Source organism: Homo sapiens, chromosome 20 (genome assembly GCF_000001405.40).
Source record: "Homo sapiens chromosome 20, GRCh38.p14 Primary Assembly".
Taxonomy (NCBI): domain Eukaryota; kingdom Metazoa; phylum Chordata; class Mammalia; order Primates; family Hominidae; genus Homo; species Homo sapiens.
In genome coordinates this window covers 53,534,740-53,550,640 of record NC_000020.11, presented here as the reverse complement: position 1 = coordinate 53,550,640, position 15,901 = coordinate 53,534,740, and the positions used below count along the sequence as shown (strand labels likewise).

At 44.6% G+C, this 15,901-nt stretch overlaps 1 annotated feature.

The window, feature by feature from the left end:
• Positions 15,095-15,395: a silencer, noted in NCBI's record as "silencer 6 fragment used in repoter construct". NCBI's record gives its function as "represses an SCP1 promoter by reporter assays in K562 erythroleukemia cells {active_cell/tissue: K562}" and the evidence as "EXISTENCE:reporter gene assay evidence [ECO:0000049][PMID:32103011]".

The window sequence follows — 15,901 nt, the reverse complement described above, 5'->3', positions numbered from 1 at the left end:
TCCTGGGGTCAAGTGATCCTCCCACCTAGGCCTCCCAAAGTTGGGATTACAGACGTGAGCCACTGAGCCCAGCTGGGACTTAGCATAATGTTTTTGAGGCTTACTCATGGTGGAGCATGGATCAGTGTTTCATGCCTTTTTATAGCTGAATAATATTCCGTGATGTGGATAGACCAACATATGGTTTGGATCTGTGTCCCCACCCAAATATCATGTTCACTTGTAATCCTCCGTGTTGGAGGTGGGGCCTGGTGGGAGGTGACAGGATCATGGGGGTGGATCCTCATGAATGGTTTAGCACCATCTTCTTGTGTTGTTCTCATGATAGTGAGTTCTCATGAGATATAGTTGTTTAAGAGTGTGTAGCACCCCCACCCAACTCTTGCTCCTGCTCCCGCCATTTGAGACGCTTCTCTCCCGCTTTGCTTTCTACCATGGTTGTAGGTTTCCTGAGGCCTCCCTGGAAGTAGAAGCTGCTATGCTTCCTGTACAGCCTGCAGAACCGTGAGTCAATAAACCTCTCTTCTTTATAAATTACCCAGTCTCAGTCTCAGGTATTTCTTTCTTTCTTTTTTTTTTTCTGAGACGGAGTCTCACTCTGTCCCCAGGCTGGAGTTCAGTGGCACCATCTCGGCTCACTGCAACCTCCGCCTCCCAGGTTCACACGATTCTTCTGCTTCAGCTTCCTAAGTAGCTGGGATTACAGGCGCCCGCCACCATGCCTGGCTAATTTTTGTATTTTTAGTAGAGACGGGGTTTCACTGTGTTGGTCAGGCTGGTCTCGGACTCCTGACCTCGTGATCCGCCCACCTTGGCCTCCCAGAGTGTTGGGATTACAGGCGTGAGCCACCGCGCCTGGCCAGGTATTTCTTTATAGTAATGTAAGAACAGCCTAATGCAGGCCACATTTTGTTTATCCATTCATCAGTACGGACATTGGATGGTCTTCATCTTTTGGCTATTGTGAGTAATGCTGCTGTGAACATTGCTGGACAAGTTTTTGTCTGAATGTCCTTTTTAAGTTCTTTGAGTGTATAACTAGGAGTGGAACTGCTTGCTCACGTGGGTCACCCTGCTCCTTTTTTCTTTTACTTTGCAATATTAAGACCCCATATTAGTGTGATACTCTTTCCTAGACTTTTAGTCTAAATAATAGTACTTGCTTTGTTTGTTTGTTTTTTTTTAAAGATGGTCTTGCTCTGTTGCACAGGCTGGAGTGTAGTGTCCCAATCGTAGCTCACTGAAACCTCAAACTTCCAGACTCAAGGGATCCTCCTATCTCAGCCCTCTGAGTAGCTGGGATTATAGGCACGTGCCACCATACCCAGCTAATTTTTGAATTTCTTTGTAGGAACAAAGTCTCATTATGTTGCTCAGGCTGGTGTCAAACTCCTGGCCTCAAGTAATCCTCCTCTTCGGCCTCCCAAGGTGCTGGATAACAAGTGTGAGCCATCATGCCTGGCTAAGTCTTCAGTGAATACATCTAAATAAATATATTTTGGGTTTTTTGTTTTGTTTTGTTTTGTTTTTTGTTTCGTTTCTGAGACAGGGTCTCATTCTGTTGCCCAGTGTGGAGTGCAATGGTGCAGCCTCGGCTCACTGCAGCCTCCACCCTCTGGGCTCAAGTGATCCTTCCACCTCAGCATCCCGAGTAGCTGAGACTACAGGCATGTACCACCATGCCTGGCTAATTTTTGTATTTTTTGGTATAGATAGGGTAATGCCATGTTGTTCAGGCTGGTTTTAAATTCCTGGGCTCAAGTGATCCTTCTGCCTTGGCTTTCTAAAGTGCTGGGATTCCAGGCATGAGCCACCATGTCCGGCCTGAATAAATATATTTTGAATAAATGAATGGATGATATTAGTTGAGGCAACCCTTAATAACAAAGACTACCAAGACATTTATTGGTCTAGTGAATGGCTTTGTATCTTATTAACTGTAACATTTGAATACGTTTGAAACTTTGTTATATATGTGACATAAATTCTGGGCATATAATTAAATTTCTACAAGAACTGAGTTATAGTGAATGTTTATTGAATTTTAATTTATGCCTAGGAGAATATGCTGTATTTTCCTTTTAACTTTTCTATCTTATACCTAGTGTGTGAAGGCTACTGTTCTATTTTATTTTATTAATTAATTAATTAATTAATTAATTTATTTGAGACAGAGTCTCACTGTGTCGCCCAGGCTGGAGTGCAGTGGCACGATCTCCGCTCACTGCAAGCTCTGCCTCCTGGGTTCACGCCATCCTCCTTCCTCAGCCTCCCGAGTAGCTGGGACTACAGGTGCCCGCCACCACGCCCAGCTAATTTTTTGTATTTTTAGTACAGATGGGGTTTCACTGTGTTAGCCAGGATGGTCTCGATCTCCTGACCTCGTGATCTGCCGCCTCGGCCTCCCAAAGTGTTGGGATTCCAGGCATGAGCCACCGTGCCTGGCCTGTTCTATTTATTAGGAAACTGAGGCCTGAGGGGGCGTCATCCCAGCAGTGAAGCCTCGATTTGCACTCACAACCTAGAGCAGTCTCTACTCAGTTGGGTTACCTTCTCTCTCTACAGCACTCAGAACCCAGACGCAGGTAGAGACAGCTTTTAGTTTTATTAAAGGCAGCCCGTTAGAGAGAGGACTTCAAATGGATCAGAGGAAAAGGTTTTTCTCCCAGGCACTGGTATTGCAGCTTCTGTCCACACGAGGGAAGTATTAGCTAAGAATAGCAATTGGTTGCAACTTGGAAACAAAGGCTGCAAGAGAAACTAAAATAAACCAGCTACTGGATTTCTAGGCCAACCTTAGGAAATTAATCAGCAACTGTAGAACTCCGGGTAAACAAATGTAAACCAGACCAGCCATTGGCTCATACTGTCACAGTGAGGATTCTGACCTGTTAAGCTGGAAAGCAAGGGCTCCCTGCATACATTCCTGTCTACAGGACAATTGCATCTGGAGCTGCCCCATAAGATCTTAAGTTGATTCCCCCGGTACTTATGTTGTCACACACAGATGATGACCCAAAGGAAAGGGCACTGCTTAGCCTCCAAAGAACTGTTTTTTTTTTTTTTTTGGTAGGGTAGGCAATTGCATGACATGCTTACTTGAAAAGCAGATGAAGCCAGGCTTGGTGGCTAACGCATACAATCCCAACACTTTGGCAGGCCAAGGCAGGAGGATTGCTTGAAACAAGGAGTTTGAGACCAGTCTGGGCGACAGAGCAAGACCCTATCTCTACAAAAAATGAAAAATTAGCCAGATGCAGTGGCATGCATCTGTGGTCCCAGCTACTTGGGAAGCTGAGGTGGGAGGATTGCTGGCGTCTGGGAGGTTGAGGCTGCAGTGAGCTGTGATGGGGCCACTGCACTCTAGCCTGGGTAGCAAACTGAGAACGTGTCTCAACAACAAAACAACACAACAACAACAACAACAACAACAGCGGCAGATGAAAGTAAGCGTCCAGGAAAACCTTTAATTTGGGTGGACAGCCAGAGCTCCCAGAGTTTTGGAATTCATTAACCAGTAATGTTGAAAAAAACTGATGCCGTTGTAAGGATACCAAGTTTTGATTTTGCCAGGTAAGAAAGGGTATTCAAAAAATCCAACTGGCATTTACTCTCACTATCATTTCACAAAAGAGAAACCAAGACAGTTGGAAAAACATAATTGAAGACTGAAGGACTGTCCTTTAAATTGAAAAAAAAAAAAAACCCTCATGAAAAACAAATCAGTGAAAACTTCATTGAGACTTGCATAAAGATCAGTGTTGGAAGGCATTGTTTTAAAGGTGTTAATTCTTTTGGTTTGAGAAAAATTCTTAAGGAAATCAAGATAACAAAGAAAGAATAACTCATCTGAATTTCCCCGAACACATTGTACATTTCCACAGACCGGGAAATAGTTCGCAGTTACGGAGCATGTCCAATGGGCCATGCATTTTTCATGCATTGTCTCATTTAAATGTTACAACTACATTTGAGATAGGAACCTTTATCATCCCCATTTTATAGATGAGGACACCAGACCTTGCACCTGTACACAGCTAGTGAGGACATAGTGCTAAGGAGTGCATCCAAACAGTAGCAACAACGAATGAGCTTTACTCTTCTCTGGTTTCTTCAGTTGCTTTAGAAAAGAGAAAGGTTTCTTGGCAAATTAAGAACTACCCCTAGTTGGTCATAGAAAAAGAAAATACTCATAATTTCCCAGTTTTTTTTTTTTTTTTTGAGACAGAATTTTGCTCTGTCACCAGGCTGGAGTACAGTGGCACGATCTTAGCTCACTGCAACCTCCACCTCCTGGGTTCAAGCTATTCTGCCTCAGCCTCCCGAGTATCTGGGACTATAGGCACATGACAACATGCCTGGCTAATTTTTGTAATTTTAGTAGAGATGGGGTTTCACCATATTAGTCAGGCTGGTCTCAAACTCCTGACCGCAAGTGATCCACCCACCTCAGCCTCCCAAAGTGCTGGGATTACAGGCGTGAGCCACCAGGCCCAGCCTAACCTCACAGTTTTGAAGTATTAACATTTGAGCACTGTTCTTTTTATACATTAACATTTTGTTTTGAGATTGAACATTTTTTTTTCTTTTTTTGAGACAGTTTTGCTCTGTTGCCCAGGCTGGAGTGCAGGGGCACGATCTGGGCTCAGTGCAACCTCTGCCTCCCGGGTTCAAGCAATTCTTGCGCTTCAGCCTCCCAAGTAGCTGGGATTACAGGCGCCTGCCACCACGCCTGGCTAACTTTTGTATTTTTAGCAGAGACGAGGTTTCGCCATTTTGGCCAGACGGGTCTTGAACTCCTGGCCTCAGGTGATCCACATGCCTCGACCTCCCAAAGTGCTGGGATTACAGGAGTGAGCCACTGCGCCTGGCCAAGATTAAACTTTATCATCAAAATTGGGTCCTCTTTCATTTACTTAATGGTATAAGAGAAAACATTCCCCCAGTTATTAATATTCTTTGTAGTCATAAGTTTTGAACAATGTAATGCCTTCCACTGATGAATGAAACATACATTTTGACACCAATACCCTAAGCTGAGTCTTGGTTTCTTTGGAGTGTTCGTTATTTATAGAAACACTATGTTGATATTTTTGTGCATTTACCTTTGTTCACATTTCCGATTTCCTCATGGTTAGATTTTTCAGAAGTGGAATTATTGGGTCAAAGGCTAGAATATTTTAGAATATCCAGAAAGTGTTACAAGGAGCGCACATGATGATTTATCAGAGATAGCAATACTTGTTTTGTTGATTACACCATAAGCCACGACTACCAACTGTTTTTAAGATAGTGTCCCAGGACTAAGTTTGTTCAAATCCAGTTAAAAGATCATTCTGATACAGTTTCCACTAAAAAATCTGCACACATTGCTACAGACTGTATAGCAGTGGTTTTTAAAAAAATATATAATTATATATATAATATTATATATTATGTTATATATAACATATATGTCATATATATGTTATATATAATGTTATAAATATAATTGTATATATTATATGTACATACATACACACACACACCCACACACACACACATACATATATATTTTTGAGACAGAGTCTTGCTCTGTTGCCAGGCTGGAGTGCAGTGGCGTGATCTCGGCTCACTGCAACCTCCGCCTCCCAGGTTCAAGTGATTCTCCTGCCTCAGCCTCCCAAGTAGCTGGGACTACAGGTGTGTGCCACCACGCCTAGCTAATTTTTGTATTTTTAGTAGAGGCGGGGTTTCACCATGTTGGCCAGGATGGTCTCGATCTCTTGACCTCGTGATCCCCCCACCTCAGCCTCCCAAGGTGCTGGGATTACAGGCGTGAGCCACCACACCCTGACCTACATATAATTTCGTGTACACATTATATGTTATAACATAGTATATAAAAATATTATATATATGTTTTAATTTATTGGTTAAGGCTAGTCGAGTGCAGTAGTAAGAAGGGGAAAGAGTAGAACCAGGAGTTCTATCTGTAACGGACTGTGAACAATGAATTGAGATAACTCACTACCTTTGGAGCAGCCTCCAGCAGTGGTTCTTGAGTGGGAGTGATTTTGCCTCCCATGGGACATATGGCAATATCTGGAGACATCCTGGGTAGTCACAATTGGGATGGGAGGGTAGTCCTAGCATTTTGGGTAGAGACCAGGAATGCTGCTAAACATCCTACAATGCACAGGACAGTGCTGGTAACAAAGAAGCTTTGGAATATCAATAGTGCTGAGGTAGAGAAACCCTGTTCTAGGGTCTAGAGTTGCATTTCCAAAACTGTGTTCTTTGGCACATTAATGTTGTAGAATAAGTTATTAACAATGATTCTTATCTCACAGATTCTTAACTCTAGTGAAGAATCCATGTTTTGTGTTTTTTTGAGACAGGGTCTTGCTCTGTTGCCCAGGCAGGAGCGCAGTGGCACGATCACAGCTCACTGTATTCTCGACTTCCCAGGCTCAAGCAACCCTCCTACCTCAGCCTCCCGAGTAGCTGGGGCTACGAGCATGCACCACCATGCCCTGCTAATTTTTTCTATTGTTTTTCATAGAGATGGGGTTTCACTATATTACCAGGCTGGTCTTGAACTCCTGGGCTCAAGCGATATTCCCGCCTCAGCCTCACAAAGTGCTGGGATTACAGGCATGAATAACTGTGCCCAGCAAATGTGTTAATCCCTACAAAATGCTCAGCATGGTTTCTGGCAGAAGGTCACCATGTAGTAACATTAATTATATGATTATTATTAATAAGATGTTTATAATGAATAATAAGATTCACCACTGGATAATAGGTGCATCTCTTGGGGATTTACCATGTACCTTAGCACAACAGAGACTCAGAATTCTCTAGAAAAAATACTCATTAAACTTAGTATTGATGCAACTTTACTTGACTGAGAGTCCGACATATATATATAATATATATATTATTATTATTATTATTATTTTGAGATGCAGTTTCGCTCCTGTTGCCCAGGCTGGAGTACCATGGCACGATCTCGGCTCACTACAACCTCCACCTCTGGGGTTAAGCAATTCTCTTCCTCAGCCTCCCAAGTAGCTGGGATTATAGGCACCCGCCACCACGCCTGGCTAATTTTTTGTATTTTTAGTAGAGTTGGGGTTTCACCATGTTGGCCAGGCTGGTCTCGAACTCCTGACTTTAGGTGATCTGCCCACTTTGGCCTCCCAAAGCGCTGGGATTACAGGCGTGAACCACCACGCCTGTCTCGTATCTCTATTTTTGAAAGACATCAATTACCATCTCCAGGAAGGGTTTTGTCTCAGGAAACACTGGAAAACGTTGCTCTCGAACAGGTTTCCAGAAATTACTGCCTGTGGACCAAATCTTGCCTGCTCTCAGTTTTAGTATGGCCAGGGAGCTAAGAATAGCTTTTACGTTTTTAAATAGTTAAAAAATAGTAAAAGAGGCCGAGTGTGGTGGCTCATGCCTGTAATCCCAGCACTTTGGGAGGCCAAGGTGGGTGGATCACCTGAGGCCAGGAGTTCAAGACCAGCCTGGCCAACATGGTGAAATCCCATCTCTACTAAAAATACAAAAATTAGCTGGGTGTGGTGGCACGTGCCTGTAATCCCAGCTACTCGGGAGGCCGAGGCAGCAGAATCACTTGAACCTGGCAGGTGGAGGCTGCAGCAGTGAGCCGAGATTACGCCACTTCACTTCATCTTGGGCAACAGAGCAAGGCTCTGTCTCAAAAAAAAAAAAAAAAAAGTAAAAGAAGAGTAATATTTCATGACGTGTGAACATTACCTAAAATTCAAATTTCAGAGTCCATAAATAAGGTTTTCTGCTAACACAGCCACTCTTGTTGGTTTGCGTGTGGTCTGTGGCTGCTTTCCTGCTGCAAGGGCAGAGTGAGTTAATGGTGGAATGGACTGTATAATCTGCAAAGCTGAAAACACGGACTCTCTGGCCTTTTACAGAAAACATTTGCCGTCCTCTGATTTAATGTCTCTTCTTTATAATGCCCGGGACTTCTTCCTCTGAATATATAATTTTAAAAAACCCCATTTTGAATATTACAGCAATGGAGCATAGTCTCAGCTAAATAGTTATTTCCATAAAATATGTCCAAATTTCTGCTTTAAGTCTTTTGTGAAATGAGGCAGAACATAAATTTTAAAATGTCATAATGAAAGGCCATAGGATTTAATCTCATGTTCACAGAAATATCATCTGTAAATTTTCTTATGAGGGAAGATAACGTATATTTTTCTATTTAGTTATTTCTGGAGTCTAAGTCTAGCCTAGGTCTAATTAGAAACTTTTTTTTTTTTTTGAGACGGAGTATTGCTCTGTCGCCCAGGCTGGAGTGCAGTGGCACGATCTCGGCTCACTGCAACCTCTGCCTCCCGGGTTCAAGCAATTCTCCTGCCTCAGCCTCCTGAGTAGCTGGGATTACAGGCACGCACCACCATGCCTGGCTAATTTTTGTGTCTTTAGTAGTGACGGGGTTTCACCATGTCGGCCAGGCTGGTCTCCAACTCCTGATCTCAAGTGATCTGCCCAAGTGCTGGGATTACATGCGTGAGCCACTGCGCCTGGTCCATTTTTAAAAATTTTATATTTTTTTTGGAAAAACATCTGAATGTAGAGAGGTGGGCTTATTTCTCAGGTCCCAGCATTCCAAGGCCAGGATCATTGTCATTGCCTTCCTTCCAGTTTTTTTTGTTTTATTTTTGCCTTTTTAAATGAACATATTTTTACATACTCTAGATCATTCTGAATATAGAATTTTGAGTTTTTTCTCTTTGTTTCCCACCTGTTTTTTTCTCTTTTTTTGTTTTTTTCTTTTTTCTTGTTTCCCACCTATTTTTTTTTTTTAGACAGAGGTTTGCTCTTGTCCAGGTTTGAGTGCAGTGGCGCGGTCTCTGCTCACCTCCCAGGTCTTTGCTTCGACTCCCAGATTCAAGCAACTCTCCTGCCTCAGCCTCCCAAGTAGCTGGGATTACAGGCGCTTGCCACCACTCCTGGCTAATTTTTTGTATTTTTAGTAGAGATGGGGTTTCACTGTGTTGGCCAGGCTGGTCTGGAACTCCTGACCTTAGGTGATCTGCCTGCCTTGGCCTCCCAAAGTTCTGGGATTACAGGCGTGAGCCACCGTGCCCAGCCCCCACCTATTTTTATATCAGAAATATGGGCCAGGTGCGGTGGCTCACGCTTGTAATCCCAGCACTTTGGGAGGCGGAGGTGGGAAGATCACCTGAGGTCAGGAGATCGAGACCATCCTAGCTAACATGGTGAAACCCCGTCTCTACTAAAAATACAAAAAATTAGCTCAGCATGGTGGCAGGCGCCTGTAGTCCCAGCTATTCAGGAGGCTGAGGAAGGAGAATGGTGTGAACCTGAGAGGTGGAGCTTGCAGTGATCTGAGATCGGGCCACTGTACTCTAGCCTGGGCGACAGAGACTCTGTCTCAGAAAAAAATAAAAGAAATATGTACATATTTTTCTGAGACAGCGTCTTGCTCCATCACCCAGGCTGGAGTGTAGCGGCATGCTCACGGCTAACTGCAGCCTCGACCTCCCGGCTCAAGCGATCCTTCCACCTCAGCCTTCGGAGTAGCTGGGACAACAGGCATGCAACACCACAGCCAGCTAATTTCTATAGTTTTTGTAGGGATGGGGTTTCGATATGTTATCCAGGCTGGTCTCAAACTTCTGGGCTCAAGCAATCTGCCCGTGTCTTCCTCCCAAAGTGATGGGATTAGAGGCATGAGACACTGTGCCTGGGCCAGAAATATTTTTATTTTTATTTATTTATTTATTTATTTTGAGATGGAGTCTTGCTCTGTCGACCAGGCTGGAGTGCAGTGGCATGATCTTGGGTCACTGCAACTTCCGCCTCCCAGGTTCAAGAGATTCTCCTGTCTCATCCTCCCAAGCAGCTGGGATTACAAGCACACACCACTGTGCCTAGCTAATTTTTTGTATTTTAGTAGAGACAGGGTTTCACCATGTTGCCCAGGCTGGTCTTGAAGTCCTGAGCTCAGGCAGTCCACCTGTCTCAGTCTCCCAAAGTGCTAGGATTACAGGCGTGAGCCACTGTGCCCGGCTCAGAAATATTTTTAAAAAGTGTTATAGAAGGAGTCTTTCTGTGTTGGCTAGCCTGGAGTAAAATGGCTGCTATTCACAGGCTCTATCATTGCTCATTATAGCTAGAACTCCTGGGCTCAAGTAACTTCCTGCCTCAGCCTCTGGAGTAGTTGGGGCTACAGGTATGTGCCGCCATGCCTAGCTCAGAAATATTTTTGTAATGAACTTGCTCAGCCTCAAATTCTACCAGAGGACTGAGGCTGGGAGGTTCCAATGGCATAGGAAAAGGAAAGAAAAGAGAAGACGGAAGGCAAGACAAAAAGGGAGTAAAGAGGCACTGGAGGCCGGGCTTGGTGGCTCACGCTTGTAATCTCAGCACTTTGGGAGGCCAAGGTGGGCAGATCACTTGAGGTCAGGAGTTCGAGACCAGCCTGGCCGACATGGTGAAACCCCATCTCTACTAAAAATACAAAAATTAGCTGGGTATCGTGGTGCATGCCTGTAATCCCAGCTACTCAGGAGGCTGAGGCAGAAGAATTGCTTGAACCTAGGAGGTGGAGGTTGCAGTGAGCTGAGATTGCACCACTGCACTCCAGCCTGGGTGACAAAACAAGACAGTGTCTCAAAAAAAGCACTGGGAAAAGAGTGGGAAATGGAGAGGCAGAGGCAGATATTAACCTCAGCTCAGGTAGCTCCTTGGGATCAAGCCTGTGATCTTGACATAGACCCTTTCTGCTCTCCTTCACTGAGGCCACCTCATAATTTGTGATTCCTTGACCATGGGTTGACTGGTTTCCTGCCTCCTGGTGCTCTGTGTCCCCTGTGGCTAAGCATACTTGGCACCTAGGAGGGGCATCCGTCTTTGTTGTAAAAATAAATAAACACATGTGTGCTTCACTAGCCATGAGTACTTTCTCCCTGATGTTCAAGTTATCGTGGCTCCCAGCCCATAATTGGAGGGTTAAAGACCTCCCTTCCTCCACAACTCTCTGGAGGAGTCTGTGGCCGGATTTTCATCCAGACTCAGAAGCAGAGCTGACATGCACTCCCCATCACGGTGTCTCACCCTGCCTTGTTGCAATGCACCTCTGAAGTACTCAGTGTCTGCGGCAGGCTCTGCCTCTGAAAGCCCCCAAGGGCCCCTCTCCTGAGGGGCCGGAGACATGTAGTTTCCTTGCAGAAGCTGCTAGAAGCTTTCTCTCCCCAGCTCATCGCTACATGTTGTCCCCAGGGCCCCCCAGTCCTGTCCTTTAAGTTTTGGTATTTTGTTCGTCATGGAATTTTTGGCATTAATTTTGATTTTTAAAAAAATATTGCATGCCTGTAATCTCAGTGCTTGGGGAGTTCAAGGCAGGCAGATTGCTTGAGCTCAGGAATTTGAGACCAGCCTGGACAACATGGCGAAAGCCTGTCCTTTCAAAAAATACAAAAATTAGCTAGGTGTGTGATCTCAGCTACTCAGGAGGCTGAGGTGGAAGAATGACTTGAGCCCAGGAGGTAGAGGTTGCAGTGTGTGGAGATCGCGCCACTGTACTCCAGCCTGGGTGACACTGGGTGACAGAATGAGACCCTGTCTCAAAAAAAAAAAAAAAATTGCATTAAAATATTTACCATGATTACTGAAGTTTTGGAACTACCCCTTGAATTTTTGTGCCCAAAATGAGTGCCTCACTTTCTGGCCAGCTCTACCCAAGCAACATCGCTTGGGCTTAGAGTCTCCTAGAAGTTTCTTGTGAATCAGCTTCTTCCATTATCACCTCTTTTAAAACCAGTTCCAAGGGTGACAGCTGTAATACCTTCTTCTTGCCTTCCTCCCTTCCAAATCACTTCCTTGGGGTACCCTTCTGCCCAAAGCAAACACACTAAACAGACACACACACACACGAGCACACATATGAACAGTACCACCCACAAAATGCCAGAGCTGCCTCCATCCCTCCATCCTTCAGAACCAAAGGCTTCCAGGCCCATCAGCATGTGCACCGAAACCTTCCCAGAGGTCACCAGGCTACTAACTGAGGTAGCTCAGCACATCTAGTCTGGGCCGTCACATTCATCCTGCTGAAGAGGGTTGATTTTTCTTTTTCACAAAGAAGACTTTGAAACAGCTCTATGTTGTAAAGAGAGTACATGAATCTTTGGAGGATGGCTAACGTCCCTAGCGAAACATTGATTTATACAGAGGCTCTAACATGGGATAACAGCTTAAAGCATCCCAAAGAGGAGTTGCCAGCAGAAATCAAAACTTTTTTTTTTTTTGAGACAGAGTCTCGCTCTGTCGCACAGGCTGGAGTGCAGTGGTGCAATCTCAGGTCACTGCAACCTCTGCCTCCTAAGTTCAAGTGATTCTCCTGCCTCGGCCTCCTGAGTAGCTGGGATTACAGGTGCGTGTCACCATGCCCAGCTAATTTTTTTGTATTTTTAGTAGAGACGGAGTTTTGCCATGTTGGCCAGGCTGGTTTCGAACTCCTGGCCTCAAGTGATCCGCCCACCTCCAACCTCCCAAAGTGCTAGGATTACAGGCGTGAGCCACCACACCCCGCCCAGAAATCAAAACTTTGAGTTAAACCAATAATTTGGATAGAAATTTAGGCTTTTGAATAGTATTGATTTTCACTCATCTTTGTGGCCCTAGGGCCTAAGTCTAGGCTGGTAGGTCCTCAATATTAGGTTGTTGAAAAAGTGAAGAAGAAATGTAAGAGAGAGGTTTTAAAAATGAGTTATAAGCGGGCCAGGCGCGGTGGCTCACACCTGTAATCCCAGCACTTTGGGAGGCTGAGGCAGGTGGATCACGAGGTCAGGAGTTCGAGACCAGCTTGGCCAATATGGTGAAACCCTGTCTCTACTAAAAATACAGAAATTAGCCAGGCTTGGTGGCAGGCGCCTTTAATCCCAGCTACTTGGGAGGCTGAGGCAGGACGATCGCTTGAACCCGGGAGGTGGAGGTTGCAGTGGGCCGAGATTGTGCCACTGCACTCCAGCCTGGGTGACAGAGTGAGACTCTGTCTCAGAAAAAAAAAAAAAAGGCTTATAAGCAAGTATAATACATAGCACTCTCTACCTTGACCCAACTGTAGTAGAACCTTCACTCTAGTGTAGTGTGGTTGCTCAGGAGCCTGGGTTCAAATCTTGACATTGCCTCTTCCTGGCTGTGTTGCCTTGGTTGTGTAACTTAACCTCTCTGAGCCTCAATCTTCTCAGCTGTAAGATGACGACAATGAGAGTATCAACCTCACATTGTTAGGAATATTTCATGAGTTAATTTATTCCAGTTGAGAGAAATCTGGCACATAGTAAATATTCGATAAAGGTGAATCACTATTGTTTAAACAATTTTTGTTATTCATCAAGGGGGAAAAGGCTTAGAAGTTGCCTCTTGCTTTTCCAAATCATTCTTCTCATTTTTTTTTTTGAAACGAAGTCTCACTCTGTTGCCCAGGCTGGAGTGCAGTGGTGCGATCTTAGCTCATTGCAAACCTCCGTCTCCTGGGTTCAAGCAATTCTCCTGCCTCAGCCTCCTGAGTAGCTGGGACTATAGGCACGTGCCACCATACCTGGCTAATTTTTGTATTTTTAGTAGAAACGGGGTTTCACCATGTTGGCCAGGCTGGTCTTGAACTCCTGACCTCAAGTGATCCACCCCCCTCAGCCTCCCAAAGTGTCGAGATTACAGGCACGAGCCACCATGTTCGGCCTACGTTTTTCTAATTTTAAATTAGGTATTCCTTCTCCCTGGGTTAATTATGTCCTTTCTGGGAGTTTCTGGAAAAGTGCATTGCTTTACCTAACTCATATTTTTTTTTTCTTTTTTTTTTTTGTTTCTTTTTTTTTCTTCTTCTTCTTTTTTTTTTGTTTGACAAGGTCTCACTCTGTTGCCCAGGCTGGAATGCAGTGGTGTGATCACAGCTCACTGCAGCCTTAACCTCCCGGGCTCAAGCAATCCTCCCACCTCAGCCTCCCAAGTAGCTGGGACTACAGGCATGTACCAGCATGCCCTGCTAATTTTTTCTATTTTTTTGTAGAGTCAGGGTTTTCGCTATGTTGCCCAGCCTGGTCTCAAACTTGTAGGTTCAAGAGATCCTCCTGCCTCAGCCTCCCAAAGTGTGGGATTACAGGTGTGAGCCACTGAGCACCCAGCTCATATTTCTTATCTTCCTTTCTTGCAACTTGTCTGATGGGCTGGTGCCAGATGACCGCAGCTGCTGAAGCCCGTGGATCCAGGTTGTTTAAAGAGGGATAAGAGGTCTTTCTCATTCTTTGTCTCAGTTTAGCAGTACTGTGATTTGTAATAGGCTGCAGACTTTAAAAGTTTAACTGAAAAGTCCCCTCTGTAGCCTCAGAGTGACAATGCTGCCAAAGAGTTGGCTGCAATCAAATCAGGCAGAAAATGCAATCAAACACACCTAACCCTGCAGAGAAGGACGGAAGAAGGGTGAATGCTCATTATAAGTAACATTGCCAGGACGAAAGTTTCTAACCTAACAAGAGCCTTCTGAGTCCCAGATTCTACATCTCCAGACACACATTCTCCACGGCTTGACACCAGGGGTTGGCAAACTTATTTGGTAAAGGGACTGATAGTTGATATATTTGGCTTTGTGGGCCTGCTGGTCTCTGTTGCAGCTACTCAACTTTGCTACTTGTGTGCAAAATCAGCCATTGCACCTAAATACATAACTTTATTCACAAAAACATGGGGGTGGGGGCATCGGATTTGACTGGAAGGTTATAATTTTCAGATCCCTGGTCTATACTAACTGGACACTAACTCATGTTTACCTGTGTGTCTAAAGCATTTTCATCTGACCAGTGCCTGATTATGAATTGATGACTCCTAGTTTGCTGGAGGGCGAAGTTGGACAGAAAATAAGATAATTTGGCCGGGTGCAGTGGCTCACGCCTGTAATCCCAGCACTTTGAGAGGCTGAGGCAAATAGATAACTTGAGGTCAGGAGTTCAAGACCAACCTGGCCAATATGGCAAAACCCTGTCTCTCCTAAAAATACAAAAATTAGCTGGGCGTAGTGGCTCACACCTGTAATCCCCGTCACTTGGGAGGCTGAGGCAGCAGAATCGCTTGAAGCCGGGAGGCAGAGGTTGCAGTGAGCCGAGATCGTGCCATTGCACTCCAGCCTGGGCGACATAGAGAGACTCTGTCTCAAAAAAAAAAAAAAAAAAAAAAGAAAATAATCCTTTTTGACTTCTTTCTCAGTGGTTCTTCTGAAAGTCCCAGGTAAGATTCTTATTGACTTAGCTTGGGTCAGGTGCTAATCACTGAACCTCTCATTGTACCCAGGGAGATGCTGCACTCTGATTGGTCAGGTCAGATTGCTCATCTTTGCAGCTGGATGGAGCAGTCAGCCACAGCCAAACTAGACTCACTGAGAATGAGTAGTGGTTTCCCAAAGGAAATCAGGATGCTGTTATCAAGAGAAGAGGAGAAAAAATGTGGAGCCACCCAAAACACCAGACTTGTACCTCTCATCTCATTCCCTTTCTTACAAAGGATCCTGTCAAGTTTCTTAATCTCTTCTCTCCAGTAGAAAAGAAATTATATACCCAAATTTATACTACACCGTTAGCACTAAATGTCACAGTCATTTCTTTCTTTCCCCAGGGGACTTGCATTTAAAAGAGAAAAATGTGATTTGGAAAGGGGCAGAGTTTCTTCTAAGAAACGCATTGTTGATAGTAGAATATCAGACAACAGAGAGGATGAGAAAATTGGAGGTTGGCGAATGTTGATGGGTGAAAGTAGGGACCCACTGGGGATCCTTCAGATCACACAATGGGGATATGGTGACCCCCCATATTTATTTATTTTTTTTAACAGGTCTTTTATTTCATGC